The sequence below is a fragment of the Homo sapiens genome, chromosome 12 (genome assembly GCF_000001405.40).
Source record: "Homo sapiens chromosome 12, GRCh38.p14 Primary Assembly".
Classification (NCBI taxonomy): Eukaryota; Metazoa; Chordata; class Mammalia; order Primates; family Hominidae; genus Homo; species Homo sapiens.
Window position 1 is genome coordinate 125,024,360 of NC_000012.12, and position 22,190 is coordinate 125,046,549.

The 22,190-nt window shown below is 45.4% G+C and overlaps 1 protein-coding gene and 1 long non-coding RNA gene across 3 annotated transcripts in view; one reads left to right on the forward strand and one right to left on the reverse strand.

Moving 5' to 3' along the window:
* Nucleotides 1-22,190, forward strand: part of BRI3BP (BRI3 binding protein) — a 57,523-nt gene that overhangs the window by 30,715 nt on the left and 4,618 nt on the right. The window contains exon 3 of one of the 2 annotated variants that reach the window (NM_080626.6): nt 632-6,872. The exons of the other annotated variant lie outside the window; for it this stretch is intronic. Within the exon in view, the coding sequence (NP_542193.3) occupies nt 632-1,071 (440 nt within the window). The 3' untranslated portion in view covers nt 1,072-6,872. Of the gene's footprint in view, nt 1-631; nt 6,873-22,190 lie in introns of those variants that run through there. 2 annotated transcript variants of the gene reach the window in all.
* On the reverse strand, nt 1,084-3,064 carry THRIL (TNF and HNRNPL related immunoregulatory long non-coding RNA). Its single transcript, NR_110375.1, has one exon. It is a non-coding gene; the product is annotated as a TNF and HNRNPL related immunoregulatory long non-coding RNA (long non-coding RNA).

Consider the following 22,190-nt stretch of genomic DNA (forward strand, 5'->3'; position numbering starts at 1 on the left):
CAAGATGAGATTTGTGTGGGAGCACAGAGCCAGTCCATATCAGGGTCTCACTATGTTGCCCAGGCTAAAGGTGAAAGATGTATATGATTTGAAGAGAAACCAGTATATGGAGAGGTTTTTAAAACTCAACATGGCAGGTCGTCTTAAAGGGCTTCCCTGGCTGGGCATGGTGGCTCATGCCTGTAATCCCAGCACTTTGGGAGGCCGAGGCAGGTGGATCACCTGAGGTCAGGAGTTCGAGACCAGCCTGATTAACATGGAGAAACCCCGTCTCTACTAAAGATACAAAATTAGCCGGGTGTGGTGGCGCATGCCTGTAATCCCAGCTACCCCGGAGGCTGAGACAGGAGAATTGCTTGAACCCAGGAGGCGGAGGTTGTGGTGAGCCGAGATCACACCATTGCACTCCAGCCTGGGCAACAGAGCAAGACTCCATCTCAAAAAAAAGAGGCTTCCCTGTGTGTCCTCATGGAGCAAAGTGTGACTATTCACAGAGGAACTTCCTTGAGTTCCTTTGGTTGTTGCAAAGGCCTTTTAAGCCCCACAGGCCAGCTCAACTATCCAATTCTAGCTTGTTAAGAAACCCCTGGCCCCTGCGTAACGAGCCCTGTTCCTCTTTTCTGTCCCGCAGTCTCCAACCTGTCCCAGTATTTCAGCCCAGCCTCGGTGTCCAGCAGCCCGGCCCGCGCGCTCCTGCTGGTCGGCGTCGTCCTCCTGGCCTACTGGTTCTTGTCCCTGACCCTGGGCTTCACTTTCAGCGTCCTGCACGTGGTGTTCGGCCGCTTCTTCTGGATCGTGCGGGTCGTCCTGTTTTCCATGTCCTGCGTGTACATCCTGCACAAGTACGAGGGCGAGCCGGAGAACGCGGTGCTGCCGCTGTGCTTCGTGGTGGCCGTCTACTTCATGACCGGGCCCATGGGCTTCTACTGGCGAAGCAGTCCCAGCGGCCCCAGCAACCCCAGCAACCCCAGCGTGGAGGAGAAGCTGGAGCACCTGGAGAAGCAGGTCAGACTGCTCAACATCCGTCTCAACCGGGTGCTCGAGAGCCTGGACCGCTCCAAGGACAAGTGAAGGTCAGCCGGCCGGGCGGGTCCACAGTTACCAGCACGCTGTCTCAGAAAACGAAAACGGAGGAAAAAAACCCCAAACCCCAAACAATCTTAATAAACACGACTGAGCAAGAAAGTGGCGCTGTGTAGGGCTATTTCCACCCACCCGGCAGCTCTTAGGACACATTCCCAGAAGAGCGGAAAGATCATTGACGTGGAACTACACACGAAGTGTAATTAGTGGGGGAAAAAATATTTTTTAAACAAAGGATATAACCATATTTAGTTGTACAGTAAGAGAAATTTATCTGTGCATAGAGCATAAAGTTAATTTTTTCAAGCATTTAAATACATCTTTTGTAAGGTTTTTTAATAAAGGCAGATTGAGTCAAGTTTATTAAAACTTTACATGGAGGGGAAGAATATGCTAATTTGACATTTGAGAAAAGTTTAAATGCGAGCGTTTGTTTTCACAGCTTAGGGATTGGTGGGTGAGGTCTGTGTGCGTTATTTTCATGTTCCCAAACTGTGAGCTTTATTTCATGTTATTTTTGGTGGATGTTGACTTAGTTCATGAATGTTGTCACTTCTAAATGTGGACAGTTGGGCTGCAGGATGCAACTCAACCTCTTTTGGATCCTAGAGACCCCTGCCAAGCCCCCATCAGTCCTATTTTTAAATGAAGACATCGCCATTTCTAGAAGACCTGAGATTTTCTTCCCTCTGTGCTTCGATGTATTTTAACCTCAACATTTTGAAACGGAAAATGCAAGGAGGGGCCAAGAAATGTCCTGGGGATTTGATGCCAGGAAGTACCTGGTAAGGATTGGAGATTGCTCCAGAATCTACTGCATGTCCCAATTTGCAGTTTGCTCACTAGGGCTATATACAAAAGCTATACCCTTGAGGGTTTTTTTTTTTTTCTTTTGATTTCCTCAGGACCTTAGAGGGAAAACAAACAGTAGCAGCTAATATTCTCAAGTATATTGCTGCTTAGAAAGATCCTCAGGAACAATTAGCAGCAATAAGCAAGCCTTTGAAAAGATCTGAATTCTTTTTCCTGAAATATTTACGATACACAGGTGCTTTTTATCTGAAATCTGTTGTGTCCTCCTTTTAGGCAGTCTCTGTGGGCAGAGAGTGGGACTTGCGAGGTGGACAGCTGTGGGGATCCTGGGCAAGGGAGTTTCAGAAGGTGTGGCTCAGGGGCTGGTAGAAACCCCCTTTTGTTAGGACTTGTTTTTTAAAAAAGAAAGCCCTAGGCCAGGCGCAGTGGCTGATGCCTGTAATCCCAGCGCTTTGGGAGGCCGAGGAGTATGGATCACCTGAGGTCAGGAGTTCAAGACCAGCCTGGCCAACATGGTGAAACCCCCGTCTCTACTAAAAATACAAAAATTAGTCAGGCATGGTGGTGGGTGCCTGTAGTCCAGCTACTCAGGAGGCTGAGGCAGGAGAATTGCTTGAACCTGGGAGGTGGAGGTTGCGGTGAGCCGAGATCACGCCACTGCACTCCAGCCTAGGCAACAGAGCAAGACTTCATCTTAAAAAAAAAAAAAAAAGCCCAGCATTTTGCAGCTTTGAAGCTGCTGGGGATCACGACTGTCTCTGTGGCCCTTACCTGGCCACAGATGTACCCTGGCAACCCGCTCACAGTGCCCTGCGTGCAGGTTTATAGATAACCCCTGCCAGACCTGCTACAACCAAGACCTTATGGTCCAGGTCTCAGTTTGGAGAAGATTTAGCTGTCTACCACTTCTTGTGTAGTGTTCCTGTGAAGTTTTATTTTTGGTTGCAAGTATCTGGAAAACAGATGCAGATGTTTTTGTGGATGTTGTTGAGACTTTTGAGACTTCTGTTTCTAAGGTACACATGATGGGACCCAAACTCTCCTGGAGAGTTCCATTCACTTCCTGAAACGTGCACCTGTTTCAGGTGCATGTTTATTCAGTGTGCATGGATATTTAAGATTTGCTGGAGCAGGCTGGGCAGGGTGGCTCACCCCTATAATCCCAACACTTTGGGAGGCCAAGGCAGGTGGATCACCTGAGGTCAGGAGTTTGAGACCAGCCCGGCCAACAGAGTGAAACCCCGTCTCTACTAAAAATACAAAAATTAGCCAGGCCTGGTGGTGGGCGCCTGTGATCCCAGCTACTTGGGAGGCTGAGGCTGGAGAATCGCTTGAACATGGGAGGCGGAGGTTGCAGTCAGCTGAGATCATACCACCACACTCTAGCCTCAGCAACAGAGTGAGACTCCGTCTCAAAAAAAATTATTTGCTGGATCGAATCTTTTTTTTTTTGAGATGGAGTCTCACTGTCAACCAGGCTGGAGTGCAGTGGCACCATCTCGGCTCACTGCAAGCTCCGCCTCCTGGGTTCACGCCATTCTCCTACCTCAGCCTCCCAAGTAGCCGGGACTACAGGCGCCCACCATCATGCCCGGCTAATTTTTTATATTTTTAGTAGAGACGGGGTTTCACCGTGTTAGCCAGGATGGTCTCGATCTCCTGACCTCGTGATCCGCCCGCCTCGGCCTCCCAAAGTGCTGGGATTACAGGCGTGAGCCACCGCGCTGGGCCTAGATCAAATCTTTATCCATGCACATTGGAACACAGGATTACTGGGTTGAAATCATTCTAGTTTTGTCATTTAGATACTTGTAGATGAATCTATTTTAGCACAAGGTATAAATAACTCGGGAGGTCATCTCTATCTTCTTTCCTTTTGTGCATTTGGCTATACCACGTTTAGGTACTAAAACAGCTTTGCTTATGTTGGCCAGGGGAAAACATGGCATTCTGTGCGCAAAGCTAATGATCGCCAGCCCTGCCTTGGCCCCTCCCTTGTTTATGGTCATTGTAAGATGCCCGCATGTTAAGGCTTAAGCTGTCACTGGGCTGGGTGTAATACCCGCTTCATTCCTCCTCCCACCCTCTTACCCGAAACATGAAGGGCACTGTGCTCTATTGAGATCTCGATAAGATCATCATTTTAACTTGTATTCAACTGAGGGAGGTAACATGATATCTGGGTGCTGGTGGATTGAGACCTCAAGCATCAATTCAAAATTGCTGTCGAAAATATGCACTATTTTTTTTTTCCACTCTGGCTAAGTGTAGGCTCTGAAGCCAGTTTTATAGCTTGATACATTCTGGTGAAAGATGTCTTCATTTTTAATGAAAGAACCTACAGTTAGTAGGTGTCACCTCAGGGTAGAAATTCTGATAGAAATTCTGATTATTTGAAACTCTGATAGAAATCCTAGATGCTAGATTTGAAGAAAACCTGGGTTTTATTGCATAGATTTCACCTTTTCTGGGGCACATCTTACCCCAAAATAATTGGGGATTTTTTTGTTCCTTCTCCATTCCATGGAACCTTGTAGGGTGTTGGGATTGGGCCTCCCCTCGCCACCCGCCACATGTCTTTGTTTTTTTCTCTCTTTTGTATGTGGAAAAATGTATTTTTGTACCATATCTCATACCTGGAGAGAAACCTTTTTTCTATCTTCAGGGCTGTAGAATATATTAGCGTAACACTTCACTGAATGTGACGTAAAAGCATTCTGATGAAAACTGGTTCTGTTATAATTAAGACTCAGTGTTTAAAATATCTTAATCAGTGTTAATTTCCCAGTGTTTCAGTATCACAGTAAATACTTGTTTTACTGAGAACAGAAAATAATCCAGAAAAGGAAAAGGACCAGCCCTCTCTAGATTGCTGGAATTGTATGGATGTGTTGGGGTTGGTTTAGTGATCTCTTCCTTGACACCCTAGCAAAGATGCTTTTGTGGAGTGCAAACCTTTCATAAATATACTTTCCAGGCTGGGTGCAGTGGCTCAAGCTTGTAATCCCAGCACTTTGGGAGGCCAAGGCGGGTGGATCACTTGCGGTCGGGAGTTCGAGACCAGCCTGGCCAACATAGTGAAATCCCGTCTCTACCAAAAAATACAAAAAAAAAAAAAAAAAAAAAAATAGCCAGGTGTGGTGGTGGGTTCCTGTAGTCCCAGCTACTCAGGAGGCTGAGGTGGGAGAATTGTATGAACCTGGGAGGCAGAGGTTGCAGTGAACTGAGATCACACCACTGTACTCCAGTTGAGGCGACAGAGTGAGACCCAGTCTCAAAAAAAAAAAAAAGTGTGTGTGTGTGTATATATATGTATATATATATACACACACACACACTTTCCAATACCAGTCGGCATTACCCGCCCTTTGGTTTCTTTTGCTTTGGATTTCAGCCCCCATATCATTTCTGGTAACAGAGCACAGCAATAGAATTTCTGGGAAGCAGACCTTGTGAATCGTGCCTGTGTCTTAATTCACAAAGGGTAAGTGAATGCCGTTGAAAGGTGTTTCATACACTTACCCCAGAAATGAGAGCCTGTCTCATGCAGGAGTCGGGAGGCAGCGATGTCAGGGAACTGGGACTATGTCTTTATGACTGTGATGGTGGTAACCAAGTGGGGTGGTCCCCTCTGGGGAGCTGAGTAAGAACGCAAAGGTTTGGGTCAGTGATTAGGAAGACTATAATATGACTTTGTGCATGCCCGGGAGGGCTGCCTTGTAGAGAGGATGTGAGCAGCTTAGTCGCTCATCTGGCCCTGTGATTCAGGCTTATGGAGCGTTAAGAATAACAGCTGTCAAATGGCCTAGACATGGTTAATGCAATTTGTTGCTAGTGGAAATCCTGAATTGCTTCCTTTCTGTGATCACTGCTACTTCTTAAGATGCTTTTGATGAATGTCATCTGCCTTACAAGTTGACACCTGATAACTTCTCCCTGATGGGTTTCCGAACTGGCTGACTTAACCAAAAAGCCAGCTCTTGCCATCTATCTTGCATTAAAAGGAATTCCTGAGGCTCCTAAGGGGTCAGCTGCCCCACTCCTGACTTTTTTATTTTTAATGGTCTATACCTTCTGCAACATTTTTGTTTATGGCCATTTGAATAGTTGGACTTTGACTCCTCACTTGTGAATAATAGGAATATATTTTGCAGAATCTAACATAATACCCTTAAAATTCATACTGGACAACCATCAGTGTGATGTATAGTATCTGGTGTAAACAAATTTTATTCAGCATATTAAATTATTCTGTGTTTTGCTTTTCCTTGATATGTAGGAGGTGCACCAGTACCAGTTTTTCTCTTGTGGTGGCTTAAAACGCTGATTGCCATTTGCATTGTCTACTGAAAAGCTGTGGCAGCGAGTGGTATTATTGACCATGTGTTCTCATGTCTTTTTGCAGATTTAAAGGTTTTATTGTAGTGTCCATTTAATATCTGCATGTGTGTTTAATCTCTGAATACCATGTAATTAAACTGATTAACTTGTGATGGTGATGGTGATTAGCACACACTAAAAACCCAATGAAGCAATTGTCTCCCTCTTCTTAACTGGAAATCACACTTGTGAGGTATGGTATCCATTATCAACAGTGGATTCATGATTGACTTCATATTTTGTGTATCTGGTTATAAATTTTGTATAGCATTTAATTTGGCACTTAATATAAATCCATTTGATTTGAATAGTGTGTGTGTGTACATGGTGTGTGTGTGTGTGTGCACTTTAGTTTCGTGAGCCTTGGGAAACTGATTCTACAAATATCTTATATAGAGATAAATGTATCAGGCATTTTTTTGCAAAGCGATATATACATTCCTCTTATTTATTAAATCACTGGCTTTGGTGTTATGTAGAGATATTTGTAGATCTCAGAACAGAATTAAAATATTGTGAAAATTACAGCTTAATAAATGTTTATTGTAATTTTGTTGTATGGACTTTTAAAATATATCTCATCACTTCTAACCAAACATTTGTGGAGTTTCCCCAGTTTTGATGTGTAACCAGGATTCTATGGTTCTATTCCTCGATCTGAGAAGAGTCATAAAACCTTGAATTTATGTATTCAGTTGGAGGTAAGGTTGCAAGATAAAATACAGGATGCCCAGTTAAATTTGAATTTCAGATAAACAACCAGTAGTGTTTTAGTATAGTGTAGAAGTGTTGGTTGCTTATCTGAAATTCAAATGTAAGCAAGTTTCCTGTATTTTTAGTTGCCAAATCTGACAGTCCTAGCACAGTGATGCGTGCCTCTCCACCCCACCCCGCATACCCATGCTGCTTTCTCAGGTCCTAACAATCCTTTTCTTTCTATTTTTTTTTTTTTTTTTTTTTTTTTTTTGAGATGGACTCTCACCCAGGCTGGAGTGCAGTGGCGAGATCTCAGCTCACTGCTGCCTCCATCTCCTGGGCTCAAGCGAGCATGTCCGGCCAATTTTTGTATTTTTAGTAGAGATGGGGTTTCACCATGTTGGCCAGGCTGGTCTCCAACTCCTGACCTCAGTGATCCGCCCGTTTCGGCCTCCCAAAGTGCTGGGATAACAGGCGTGAGCCATCATGCCCAGCCTTAAAAATCCTATTCTTAGTAAACATTTAGGAGCAAATGTAACAGGAGTATAATTTACCTTGACCAAGTATAATTACTCTTAACCCAAGAGTACTGCTCCTGCTTTTTACGCAAAGACAATCTCACATAGGTCGATAAGGGGACAATTTGAGGCTAGTTATTGTGAAGTTATCTGGGGGCAGCCTGGGTGGCCTGTCACTGGGAAAGCAGGCAGGTGAGCGGGGGCGGTGAGGCACTGGAGGACGTGCAGTAGGTAGTAATGACAGTAACAGCGTGGGGTGAGAAGGAAACCAGAATGAGGAGGGGCAGCTCATTTGAATAAAGTCAATACCTGCTATTAAAATAATCATTTTGGCCGGGTGAGGTGGCTCATGCCTGTAATCCCAGCACTTTGGGAGGCCGAGGCGGGCGGATCACGAGGTCAAGAGATCTAGACCATCCTGGCTAACATGGTGAAACCCCGTCTCTACTAAGAATGCAATTAGCCGGGCGTGGTGGCAAGTGCTTGTAGTCTCAGCTACTCGGGAGGCTAAGGCAGGAGAATTGCTTGAACCCAGGAGGTGGAAGTTGCAGTGAGCTGAAATCGCGCCACTGCACTCCAGCCTGGGCGACAGAGTGAAACTCCGTCTGAAAAACAAACAAAAAAAATTACTATTTTGTGGCCGGGTGCAGTGGCTCACGCCTGTCATCCCAGCACTGGGAGGCCAAGGCAGGTGAATCGCTCGAGTCCAGGAGTTCAAGACCAGCCTGGGCAACATAGTGAGAACTTGCCTCTACGAAAAGTAAATAAATTAGTTGGGTGCAGTGGCGCCTGCCTGTGCCTGCAGTCCCAGCTACTCGGGAGGCTGACGTGGGAGGATCGCTTGAGCCCAGGTGGTTGAGGCTGCAGTGAGCCATGATTGCACCACTGCATTCCAGCCTGGGGAACAGAGTGAGATCCTATCTCAAAATATAATCATTTTGTAAGAATGCATTGAAAGCAACATTCGAATTAAACACCATAGGCCGAGGAGGAGGAGGGAGTGGGTTATCGGATGGGGATTAAGAGGAATGTCAAGTACAAGAGGAATGAGACTTCACAGGAGAAGTCACCGAGGGCAGTGTTCCTCGGACCTAGAGGGTGCCGGGAACCCTGCCCCAGCCTGACCAGCTACAGCCTCACCATCTCCCACTGCCCCTTCTGCCCGCTGCCAATCCCGCTGCAGCCCCAGAGCAGCTGGCGGCATTGCTACCAGCCCCTTTGCACCTATGAAGGAAAAATAGAATCTCGGGATCTCAAACTCATTATGCCAAGGGCAAAGTTAAGCTTGGGAACTGAGCCACAAAACAAACAAACAAAAAAAACAAACACAAACTTCCTTCCTTTGCTTCCCAAACAGATAGCTGCCTACTTTATCTTGTGTAAAATGTAGATTTGGGCTGGGTGTAGTGTCTCAAGCCTGTAATCTCAGCACTTTGGGAGGCTGAGGCAGAAGGATCACTTGAGCTCAGGAAGCAGAGGTTGCAGTGGGCCGAGATGGCGCCCCTGCACTCCAACCTGGGCGACGGAGTGAGACTCTGTCTCAGAAAAATAGATAAAAATGAATACATAAATATACATAAAATGTAGATTCATGAGTGCTCGTCAAAGCCGAGTGAGACTCAGCCCTGCCTCACTGCCTACCATTCCCCACATTTTTCTTCCATCCTTCCCCTCCTGCTTGCGCATTCCCCTTTAAATATTTAAGTCCTCAGAACCCATTTTGGAAACAGCACAGGCCACAGATCCTACTGTGACTTATGTTTCTTTTCCTTGGGCCCGGCGTCAACCTTGACAAAATAAGCCACTAATCCATTGAGACCTGCCCCAGTCACTTTTTGGTTTACACTCCTATTTCTAACCAAGGCCCCCTGTACTGTTTTGTTTTTCTGGTTTTTTTTTGTTTTTTTTTTTGAAACAGAGTCTCATTCTGTCACCCAGGCTAGTGTGCAGTGGTGAGATCTCGCCTCACTGCAACCTCCATCTCCACGGTTCAAGCAATCCTCCCACCTCAGCCTCCCTAGTAGTTGAGATTACAGGCGCACACCACCACACCCAGCTAATTTTTGTATTTTTTAGTAGAGATGGGGTTTCACAATGTTGGCCAGGCTGGTCTTGAACCCCTGACCTCAAATGATCTGCCTGCCTCGGCCTCCCAAAGTGTTGGGATTACAGGCGTGAGCCACCACCCAGGCTGTTTTTGTTTTGTTTTGGTTTGAGGCGGAGTTTCACTCTTGTTGCCCAGGCTGGAGTGCAATGGCACAATCTCAGCTCACCGCAACCTCCGCTTCCTGGGTTCAAGCAATTCTACCGCCTCAGCCTCCCAAGTAGCTGGGATTTCAGGCATGTGCCACCACACCCAGCTAATTTTGTATTTTTAGTAGAGACGGGGTTTCTCCATGTTGGTCAGGCTGTTCTCGAACTACCGACCTCAGGTGATCTGCCCGCCTCGGCCTCCCAAAGTGTTGGGATTACAGACGTGAGCCACTGCACCCAGCCCCTTTTTTTAAAAAAAGAAAAACAAAAACAGCTTTATCAATGTAAAATTGACATACAATAAGCTGCACATGTTTGAATGTAACTTGGATAACGTTTCATATATGCGTACACCATGGACATCAAACTTGCCACAATCAAAATAGCAAACATGTCCATCACCTCAGGGCCCTTTGGGGTCCCTCTCACTGCTCTCCATCCCCAGGCAACCTTTGAGCTGCTCTCTGTCACTAGACATTAGTTTGTATTTTTTTTTTTTGGGCTGGGGATGGAGTCTCACTCTGTCGCCCAGGCTGGAGTGCAGTGGCGCAATCTTGGCTCAGTGCAACCTCTGCCTCCCAGTTTCAAGCAATTCTCCTGCCTCAGCCTCCCAAGTAGCTGGGACTACAGGCGCCTGCCACCACGCCCAGCTAATTTTTGTATTTTTAGTAGAGACGGGGTTTCACCATATTGGCCAGACTAGTCTCGAACTCCTGACCTTGTATTCTGCCCACCTTGGCCTCCCAAAGTGTTGGGATTACAGGCGTGAACCACCGCGCCCGGCCCTAGTTTGCATTTTCTAGCATTTTATGTAAATGGGATGAAACAGCATGTGTCTCCCCATGCCCACCCCCCAGCTTCTTTCACTTAATATAATTATTTTGAAATCCATCCCAGTTGTTGCCCTTATCAATAGTTCACTCTTTTTCATTGCTGCGTAGTATTCCATAGTATGGATGTACCACAATTTGCTTATCCATTCACTTGTTGATGGACTTTTTGGTTGTTTCCTATTTGGGGCTATTACAAATAAAGCGACTATGAACACTTATGTATAGGACTTTGTATGAACATACTTTTCACTTCTCCCAGGTAAATACTTAGGACCAGAATGGCTGGATTATATTGAGGGTATAGGTTTAACTTTTTAAGACATTGTTTTCCAAAGTGGTTGTAGCATTTTACATTCCTACCCACTGTGTGTGAGAATTCCAGTTCCTCCATAGCCTCACCGACAGTTGGTATGATCAGCTGTTTTCACCCAAAACATTCACTTACTAATAGGTATTGTCTTTTTTTTTTTTTTTTTGAGGCAGGATCTTGCTTTCTTGCCCAGGCTGGAGTGCAGTGGTGCAATCACAGCTCACTTTAGCCTTGACCTCCCAGGCTCAGGCAGTTCTCATGCTTCAGTATCCCACCTAAGTGGGACTACAGGTGTGTGCTATCACACCAGGCTAATGCTTTTTTTTTTGTAGAGATGGGGTCTCACTATGTTGCCTAGGCTGGTCTTCAACTCCTGGACTCAAGTGATCCTCCCATTTTGGCCTCCCAGGGATTACAGGTGTGAGCCGCCATGCCTGGCCTCTTTTTTTCTTTTTTACTTTTTTTCCATTTTTCATTTTGGGATTACAGATGTGAGCCAGTATGCCCGGCCTGTCAGGTGTGGTCTTAACTGAAGCTAGCCATCTTTCATTAAACAAGGAAATGCTTATTTCTGACAAGTGTAAACAGAATTTCAATAAACAGCTTGTGGAAATTTTATGAATTACATACATTAGCCAACACTTGATCTTCACAGTAGCAAAATATCCACTGAAAAATGATAACATGCATATATCCAAAGCACCTGTTCTGAAGCCCCAAAGAAAAGCAAACCAAGTCAATAGTCCATGGTCAAATCTTTGATGATGATTAACAAAAAATTAACAAAATGAGTAATCTATAGTTTTTTTTGTTTTGTTTTTGTTTTTTGTTTTTTTTTGAGATGGAGTTTTGCTCGTCACCAAGGCTGCAGTGCAATGGCGCGATCTCTGCTCACTGCAACCTCCGCCTCCCAGGTTCAAGCGATTCTCCTGCCTCAGCCTCCTGGGTAGCTGGGATTACAGACACACACCACTACACCTGGCTAATTTTTGTATTTTTAGTAGAGACGGGGGTTTCACCATGTTGGTCAGACTGGTCTCAAACTCCTGACCTTCTGATCCCCCGCCTTGGCCTCCCAAAATGCTGGGATTACAGGCATGAGCCACCGCACCCGGCCTAATTTTTTTTATTTTATTTATTTATTATTATTATTTTTTTTTAGTAGAGACAGGGTTTCACTATGTTGGCCAGGTGATCTATATTTTTTATTTAGTAACTGCTCATCATTGATTATATTGGTGGCTTCAATGTAGATAATGCTAGGTTTAGCTCCAAATATGATCTAAATATATCTTAACCATTGCTAACCATGAAACAACAGCTAGCACAATGTTAACACAGGGCACTATTGGGAGATTTAGTACTCAACATCATGCAAGTCCCTTGTAGAATAATGAAGTTTTGTGAGCTGGTCACGGTGCTACAGAATGAATGTGTGCAGCCCCTCAAAATGTATATGTTAAATCCCTAATTCCCAATGTGATGGTATTTGGAGACAGGGTCTTTGGGAGGTGATTAGTCTAGATGAGATCCTGAAGGTGGACCCCCATAATGGGACTAGTGGCCTCATAAGAAGAGGAAAAGACCAGATACCCCTCGACTCCACCATGTGAAGACACAACAAGAAGGTGGCTGTTTTTTAACCAGGGAGAAGGCTATCACCAAATACTGAGTATGCTAGTACCTTGCTCTTGAACTTCCCAGCCTCCAGAACTGTGTGAAATAAATATTTAGTCTATACTATTGTATTACAGCATCCTGACCTTACTAAGACAGATGGTTGTCTTCATATGAAAAAATTAAAATGACAAAAGGCTTTGTTTTGTTTTTGGAGACAAAGTTTTGCTGTTATTGCCCAGGCTGGAGTGCAATGGCACAATCTTTGCTCACTGCAACCCCTGCCTCCTGGGTTCAAATGATTCTCCGGCCTCAGCCTCCTGAGTAGCTGGGATTACAGGCACGTGCCACACGTCTAGCTAATTGTTGGTATTTAGTAGAGACAGGGTTTCACCATGTTGGTTGGGCTGGTCTTGAACTCCTGACCTCAGGTGATCCACCTGCCTTGGCCTCCCACAGTGCTGGGATTACAGGCGTGAGCCGCCACGCCCTGCCAAAAAGGCTTTATTTGATCTAGTCCCTAAATCACCCCCAGATAGCAGATTGGCAACCTGTGGACACACTAATTTAGGCATAGCTATAGTAGATGAAATATTCCCTTAGTGCCCTGGAGGAAGTCCCATCTGTCAGGAAATTATCTAATTAGTGGAAAGAAACTGGTGCGTGTGGCCAGGCACGGTGGCTCACGCCTGTAATCCCGGCACTTTGGGAGGCCAAGGCGGGCAGATCACGAGGCCAGGAGTTTGAGACCAGCCTGGCCAATATGGTGAAACCCCGTCTCTACTAAAAATACAAAAAAATTAGCTGGGTGTGTTACTGTGCGCCTGTAATCCCAACTACTTGGGAGGCTGAGGCAGAAGAATCGCTTGAACCCAGGAGGCAGAGATTGCAGTGAGCTGAGATCAAGCCACTGCACTCCAGCCTGGGCAACAGAGCAAGACTCTGTCTCAAAAAAAAAAAAAAAGAAAAGAAAAGAAAAAGAAACTGGTGCATGTATACACGTGTGTTGAGCATGCATTTATGTGAGAAAGTGTAAGTACACGTGTGTATGTGCATTTGGAATTTCTAAAAGTGCTGGTTTCTAGGCTTCTAATCAGAAGTGTGGCATCAATTCTCCCTGATCTTAAGCAGTAGAAGTTCACAATTCTAGCCAGGCACGGTGGCTCATGCATGTAATCCCAGCACTTTGGGAGGCCAAGGTGAGTGGATCACTTGAGCTCAGGAGTTCAAGACCAGTCTGGGCAACATACCAAAAATACAAAAAATTAGCCAGGCATGGTGGTGTGCGTCTGTGTTCCTAGCTCCTTGGGAGGCTGAGGTGGGAGGATCACTTGTGCCTTGGGGGCAGAGTTTGCAGTGAGCCAAGGTTGTGCCCCTGTGCTCCAGCCATCTCAAAAAAAAAAAAAAAAAGTTCACCGTTCTGTTCCATCAAAAAACAAGGGAAGGGGATGTGGGATGCCTTTTCTTGGTTATCTTCAAATGGCAGTAATTCTAAGCTCAGAATAAAGCATCCGATGTTTGACACTATATTAAACCTATTCTAAAAGAAATGAGTTCTCAAACTTAAAACTAAGATGCTTGTGGCTTTCAAAGTACTTAATTTTGAATTAAAAATAAAATCTGCCGGGCGTGGTGGCTCATGCCTGTAATCCCAGCACTTTGGGAGGCCAAGGCAGGTGGATCACCTGAGGTCAGGAGTTCAAGACCAGCTTGAGCAACATGGAGAAACCCCGTCTCTACTAAAAATACAAAATTATCCAGGCGTGGTGGTGCGTGCCTGTAATTCCAGCTACTCAGGAAGCTGAGGCAGGAGAATTGTTTGAACCTGGGAGGCGGAGGTTGCGGTGAGCCGAGATCGTGCCATTGCACTCCAGCCTGGGTGACAAGAGCGAAACTTCATCTCAAAAAAATTAAAAATAAAAATAAATAGAATAGAATAAAATCCAAGGTCAGGCCTTGGCTCACGCCTGTAATCCCAGCACTTTGGGAGGCCAAGCCAGGCAAATCACCTGAGATCAGGGGTTCAAGACCAGCCTGGCCAACATGGTGAAACCCCGTCTCTACTAAAAATAGAAAAATTAGCCGGGCATGGTGGCCGGCGCCTGTAATCCCAGCTACTTGGGAGGCTGAGGCAGAAGAATCGCTTGAACCTGGGAGGGGGAGGTTGCAGTGAGCTGAGATTGTGCCACTGCACTCCAGCCTGGGCGACAGAGCACAGTTCCATCTCAAAAAATAAAAAAACCCCAAAACCAAATTTCTGTTGTATAAAGCTCAGAGAGGTCAAGTGACCTGCACAAAATGGAACAGCTAATAAGGAATCATGGAAGTCAGGACTGAAACCCAGCAGCTGTGATTCCAAATTCTGTTTTCTGCTGCACTGCACAGAGAGTGCAAGGCCCACGGGTTCCCTCTGTATTGTGAAAATTTACAGAGTTATCTTTTAATAGTTTTTTTTCAAATGCATGCCTTTCATCATTCTCAGTCAGTTAAACCAATCTCAGGGGATCCTTTGCTAGGATTCATCTTTTCTGGACACTTTTTGGCCTGCAGGGGTCTGAGTTGCCCTATGCAAAGAGGCTATGTTTGACTAGGCTTTAGGAGCTCGTACCAGGCAGGGTTAAACTATTCTTGCTACTCGCCTTGGGAGGAGATAAAACAAGTGGACTAATTCTACTCTCATCAACTTCGATTTTGAAAGACTGAAAAATTGCTCCCCTGTTTTTAGATCCTTTCTTCATATTGCACACCCTGTGTGAGTTGTGGAAAATCATTGGAATGTTATTCCAATAGGGTTTTTTTTTTAAGTATAGAAAAATCATGGAGACGTGGAGGCTTAAAAGGGTTCGTTCATTCATTCATCTTTTCACTCATTCATTTGCAAAGGTGTGTAGTTCTCAAAGTGTGGTCTGGGTTCCTCCAGTTACATAAAATACTATTAATAACAGGTTATTTATATTTTTCACTTTCATTCTCTCATGAATGTACAATGGAATTTTCTAGAGGCCACGAGATGTGTGCTCTCCAAACAGAATGAATGGAAAAGCTGCAAAAGCGGAGATGAGGGTCCAGCTGTCTTCTCTTTAGCTACATATCAGAGATTTGCAAAAATGTAGGACAATGGCTGGGTACGGTGGCTCATGCCTATAATCCCAGCACTTTGGGACGCCAAGGCAGGCGGATCACAAGGTCAAGAGATTGAGACCATCCTGGCCAACATGGTGAAACCCCATCTCTACTGAAAATACAAAAATTAGCTGGGTGTGGTGGCGCACGCCTGTAGTTCCAGCTACTCGGGAGGCTGAGGCAGGAGAACTGCTTAAACCCAGGAGGTGGAGGTTGCAGTGAGCTGAGATCACACCATTGCACTCCAGCCTGGTGACAGAGCAAGACTCCATCTCAAAAAAAAAAAAAAGTAGGACCATGCCGTTCTCATTAACACTATTTTTTTTTGTTTTTGTTTTTTCAAAGTATAGGTTCTTTTTGTTTGTTTTTTTGTTTTGACACAGAGTTTTGCTCTTTTTGCCCAGGCTGGAGTGCAATGGCATGATCTCGGCTCACTGCAACCTCCAACTCCTGGGTTCAAGCGATTCTCCTGCCTCAGCCTCCTGAGCAGCTGGGATTACAGGCATGCGCCACCACACCCAGCTAATTTCGTATTTTTAGTAGAGACCGGTTTCTCCATGTTGGTCAGACTGGTCTTGCACCCCCGACTTCAGGTGATCCCCCCACCTTGGCCTCCCAAAGTGCTAGTATTACAGGCGTGAGCCACTGCGCCCCACCTCAAAGTATAGTTATTTTTCATAACAAATACATTGTTTATGGTCACATGGAATGGGTTTATCTTTGTTATTTCATTTTATTTATTTATTTATTCATTTTTTTTTTTGAGACAGAGTCTTGCTGTGTTGTCCAGGCTGGAGTGCAGTGGTGTGATCTTGGCTCACTGCAACTTCTGCCTCCCAGATTCGAGTGAGTCTCCTGCCTCAGCCTCCCAAGTAGCCGGGATTACAGGCACATGCCACCACACCCAGCTAATTTTTGTATTTTTAGTAGAGGTGGGGTTTCTTCATGTTGGCCAGGCTGATTTTGAACTCCTGACCTCAGGTGATCCACCTGCCTCAGCCTCCCAAAGTGCTGGGATTACAGGCATGAGCCACCGTGCCTGGCCTATCCTTGTTATTTTTTATTTTTATTTTTTTTTGAGACGGAGTCTCGCTCTGTCGCCCAGGCTGGAGTGCAGTGGCGTGATCTCGGCTCACTGCAAGCCCTGCCTCTCGGGTTCATGCCATTCTCCTGCCTCAGCCTGCCAAGTAGCTGGGACTACAGTCACCTGCCACCACGCCTGGCTAATTTGTGTGTGTGTGTGTGTATTTTTAGTAGAGACAGGGTTTCACCATGTTAGCCAGGGTGGTCTCCATCTCCTGATCTCGTGATCCACCTGCCTCGGCCTCCCAAAGTGCTGGGATTACAGGTGTGAGCCACCACGCCCAGCATTATTTTAAAATGAATTAACACTTACATATTTTTTGGTTTCTTAGTTTTATTTATAATTTGGTAATTATTTCTAGTTGTGTTACTAATTTTAATGGATAGATATAACCCACAGAAACAAAAGCTCTTGGGGTCCTCAGTAAGTTTCAGGACACATGTCCTGAAACCCTGCTGGCAAAGGCAATTCACCACATAGTACACAATTCAAAGCTACATTAGGGTGTTGAATGAACACTGAGCTCCTGCCTGGTCCCCAGACGCTATGTTCTGCTGCCCTAAGGCAACTCCTGTTACCAGTATCTTGTGGCTCCTGTTAGGGATATTCAATGACTACATGAGCAAATAAGTACGTATCTTTTTGTTTTGAAACAGAGTCCTGCTATGTTTGACTAGTGTGCAGTGGCATGATCATGGCTCACTGTGGCTTCGACTTCTTGGGCTCCAACAATCCTTCCCCCTTAGTCTCCTAAGTGGGACTACAGGTGTGCACTGTCACACCTGGCTAATGTTTTAACTTTTTTGTAGAGATGGGGTCTCACTATGTCGCCTAGGCTGGTCTTGAACTCCTGGGCTAAAGCGATCCTCCTGCCTTGACCTCGCAAAGTGCTGGGATTGCAGGCGTGAGCCACCACATCCGGCCCTTTTGCGTATCACTTTAAAAACACAAATAGCATCTACACTTCTCTAGACCCTAGTTTATCTGAATGGCTACATAATATCCCATTTTACAGATATGCCAGAATTTAGTTAACCATTCCCTTATTGAGGGACATTAAAGCTGTTGGTAAATTTGGTTTTTTAAAACTTTTATTTTAGGTTCAGGGATACGTGTGCAGGTTTGTAATGTAGGTAAATTGTGTGTCTTGGGGGTTTTGTGTAGAGATTATTTCATCACCTGTGTGATAAGCACAGTACCCGATAGGTAGTTTTTCAATCTTTACCCTCTTCCCACTTGGTAAATTTGTTGTGATCAACAGCTGCTCTTCCCAAATTACCTTATTTACCCTTTAGTTCCCATGGTGTTTCTGTGACTGTTATGCAAGTTGTTGGACTTAGTGCAAATTATAAAACATTAAATGTTCATTTTTGCCTCTAATTCTTTAGGAACTAGGTTGTGAATTTCATCTTTTTTTTTTTTTTGAAATGGGATTTTGCTGTGTTGCCCAGGCTTAAGTGCAATAGCACTTTTTTTTTTGAAACGGAGTCTCACTCACTCTGTTGCACAGACTGGAGTGCAGTGGCACAATCTTGGCTCACTGCAACCTCTGCCTCCTGGGTTCAAGCGATTCTCCTGCCTCAGCCTCCCGAGTAGCTGGGATTACAGGCACCCACCACCACGCCCAGCTAATTTTTTTGTATTTTTATTAGAGATAGGGTTTCACCGTGTTGGCCAGGCTGGTTTCAAACTCCTGACCTCAAGTGATCTGCCCCTCTTGGCCTCCCAAAGTGCTAGGATTACAGGTGTGAGCCACCATGCACAGCCCAATAGCACATTAATAGCTCACTGCAGCCTTGAACTCCTGGCCTCAAGTGATGCTCCTGCCTTGGTCTCCCAAAGTTCTGGAATTGCAGATGTGAGCCACTGTGCCCTGCCTGTTAAAGATGGATTCATTTTATCCATCTTCTATTAATGCAGAAAATTTGAAATCGATTGTATGGTGACTGAATGAAGATGTGCATTTATATCATTGGTCTGGTAGATGAGCTTGATGGGTTAAAAAAAAAAACACTTCACTTGCTCTGTGTGTTTCAGCTATGAGGCAGTGAGGGGAAGCATTATTAGCCATGGTGAAATAACAATGTGTGGTATTATTTAATCCTGCAATTGTTTTAGGTGGGCCTAAGTTCTTTCAGGCCCAGGGATTTGGGGCTCTTCATGATGTTCATGTCAGGAAGATCGTGTGTGTTCTCCTGAGGCTAAGCGTGCAGGCTCATGTAGTGATGCTGGCTGAACGTCTGCTGCTCAACGTCTACCCCAGAATCTTGAGGTGTGCTAACAAGCCAGGCTTTGTTTTCCACTCCCACAGAACCGCTGCACAGTTCCTGCTATGACTGAGGGGCTTTAAACACTTTTTAAAGATTATTTTCTGGCCAGGCGTCGTGGCTTATGCCTATAATCCCAGCACTTTGGAAGGCCAAGGCCCAGGAATTCGAGACCAGCCTGGGCAAGATAATGAGACCTCATCTCTGCCAATTTTTTTTTTTTTTAATTAGCCAAGCATGGCCGGGTGTGGTGGCGCACCCTGTAATCCCAGCACTTTGGGAGGCCGAGGTGGGCCAATCACCTGAGGTCAGGAGTTCGAGACCAGCCTGGCCAACATGGTGAAACCCCTTCTCTACTAAAAATACAAAAATTAGCCAGTCGTGGTTGTGCGTGTCTGTAATCCCAGCTACCCAGAGGCTGAGGCAGGAGAATTGCTGGAACCCAGGAGGTGGAGGTTGCAATGAGCCAAGATCGCAACACTGCACTGCAGCCTGGGTGAAAGAGCGAGACTCCGTCTCAAAAAATAAAAAGATAAAAATTAGCCAGGCGTGATGGTGCACACCTGTGGTCCCAGCTACTTGGGAGGCTGAGGTGTGAGGATCCCTTGATCCCAGAAGGCAGAGGCTGCAGTGAGCTGTGATCACACCATTGCACTCCAGCCTAGGTGACACAGCAAGACATTTAAAAAAAAAAAAAAAAAGGAAAGAAAGATTATTTTCTCACAACAGGCAAGTTTACAAGTCTTCAACACAAATTGACGATGTTGGGATTAGAGCTCTTTTGAGATAGGGTCTTTTTTGTTTTTGTTTTGGTTGTTTTTTTGTGTGTTTTTTGAGATGGAGTCTCTCTCTGTCGCCCAGGCTAGAGTGCAGTGGCGCGATCTTGGCTCACTGCAACCGCCAGCTCCCGGGTTCAAGCGATTCTCCTGCCTCAGCCTCCTGAGTAGCTGGGATTACAGGCATGCGCCACCATGCTAGCTAAGTTTTATATTTTAGTAGAGACGGGGTTTCACCATGTTGGTCAGGCTGGTCTCAAACTCCTGACTTCATGATCGGCCTGCCTCAGCCTCCCAAAGTGCTGAGATTACAGGTGTGAGTCACCATGCCCGGCCAATTTTTTTTTTTTTTTTTGAGACAGGGTCTTGTTCTGCTGCCCAGACTGGAGTGTAGTGCTCTGATCTTGGCTCACTGTAAACTCTGCCTCCTGGGTTCAAGCTATTCTTCCCCTTCAGCCTCCCAAGTAGCTGGGATACAAGCATGCGCCACCACACCCAGTTAATTTTTTGTATTTTTAGCAGAGATGGGGTTTCACCATGTTGGCCAGGCTGGTCTTGAACTCCTGGCCTCAAGTGATCTGTCTGCCTTGGGCTCCCAAAGTGGTGGGATTACAGGTATGAGCCACCGCACCTGTCCCAGGCAGATAATTTTAAAATATACTTTAAAATTTATTGCAGAGACAGAGTCTTGCTATGTCACTCAGGCTGATCTTGAACTCCTGGGCTCAAGTGATCCTCCTACCTCAGCCTCCCAAAGCTCTGGGGATTACAGGTGTGAGCCACACTGCACCTGGCCAGACAAGATATTTTATAATAAAGTTTCAACTTATTGTATTTAATATTCAAAACAGTCATCCTAGCCATTCATCCTTATAATTACTAAAGACATAATGCCAGTTACTTCCAATCACTGGTGAATTAAAATTTTTTTCTCATTCTTATATCTATACCTGACTTTAATATCAGAGGGTGGCTATGGATTGGATATTGATTAAATCATAAAACATAAGGTTTGGGAAAATGCAAAGTGCAGCCTATGAAATTGAAAATTAACAGAACTAGCTAAAAAAAACCACTGCAAAGAACTTAGCACATAAGAGTGTAAAACTGGCATCTAAGGGTCAACCACTTTGCGTAAGAAATGGAACCTTTAGAAAGAATGAAGTGATCAAACCCGTTTAAGTCTAGATAAAAGTCAGAAAGTCCCCAGTCAATGCTAAGATGATGTTTTCTTCTTTTTTTTTGGACGGAGTCTCACTCTGTCGCCCAGGCTGGAGTGCTGTAGCGCGATCCCGGCTCACTGCAACCTCCGCCTCCCTGGTTCAAGCTATTCTGCCTCAGCCTCCTGAGTAGCTGGGATTACAGGCGGCATCATCACGCCCGGCTAATTTTTGTATTTTTAGTAGAGACGGGGTTTCATCATGTTTGTCAGGCTGATCTCGAACTCCTGACCTCGCGATCTGCCCGCCTAGGTCTCCCAAAGTGCTGGGATTACAGGCGTGAACCGCCCCGCCTGGCCTCTAAGATGATGTTTTCTCCCTCAGTGCCTCCCCACCCTTGTGACCTGTCAGACTTATGTGTAAAAATGCATCTGTCAATAACTAAATATTGAGTGCCTACGATTGGCCCTACATTAGGACAATAAATTATCTCCTTTCTTACATTTATTTTTCTGTATCAAAATTTTTCTCAAAGGGTTTTAGTTCAATGGTTGCAGGTCTGTTTAAGGGTTGGTTGAAAAATAATACCATCATTAAAAAGAGCTGATTTGGCTGAACACGGTGACTCACTCCTGTAATCCCAGAAATTTGGGAGGCTGAGGTGGGCAGATCACCTGAGGTCAGGAGTTCAAGACCAGCCTGGCCAACATGGTGAAACCCCGTCTCTACTAAAAATACAAAAATTAGCCAGGCGTGGTGGCAGGTGCCTGTAATCCCAGCTACTTGGGAGGCTGAGGCAGGAGAATCACTTGAACCCAGGAGGTGGAGGTTGCAGTGAGCTGAGATCGCGCCATTGACTCTAGCCTGAGGGACAAGAATGAGACTTTGTCTCAAAAAAAAAAACCACAAAAAAACTGATTTTAGACAGCTGAGAATCTATATATAACTGACACATAAGTATGCTATACATATCTGTATGTTTAGAAAATGTTTAAAAGAGGCCGGGCGCGGTGGCTCACACCTGTAATCCCAGCACTTTGGGAGGCCTAGGTGGGTGGATCACTTGAGGTCAGGAGTTTGAGACCAGACTTGCCAATATGGTGAAACCCTGTCTCTATTCAAAATACAAAAATTAGCCGGGTCTGGTGGCTCACGCCTGTAGTCCCATCTACTCAGGAAGCTGAGGCAAGAAGCTGCCTCCCAAGAACCTCTGCCTTGGGAGGCAGAGGTTGCAGTGAGCTGAGATCACACCACTGCACTCCAGCCTGGGCAACAGA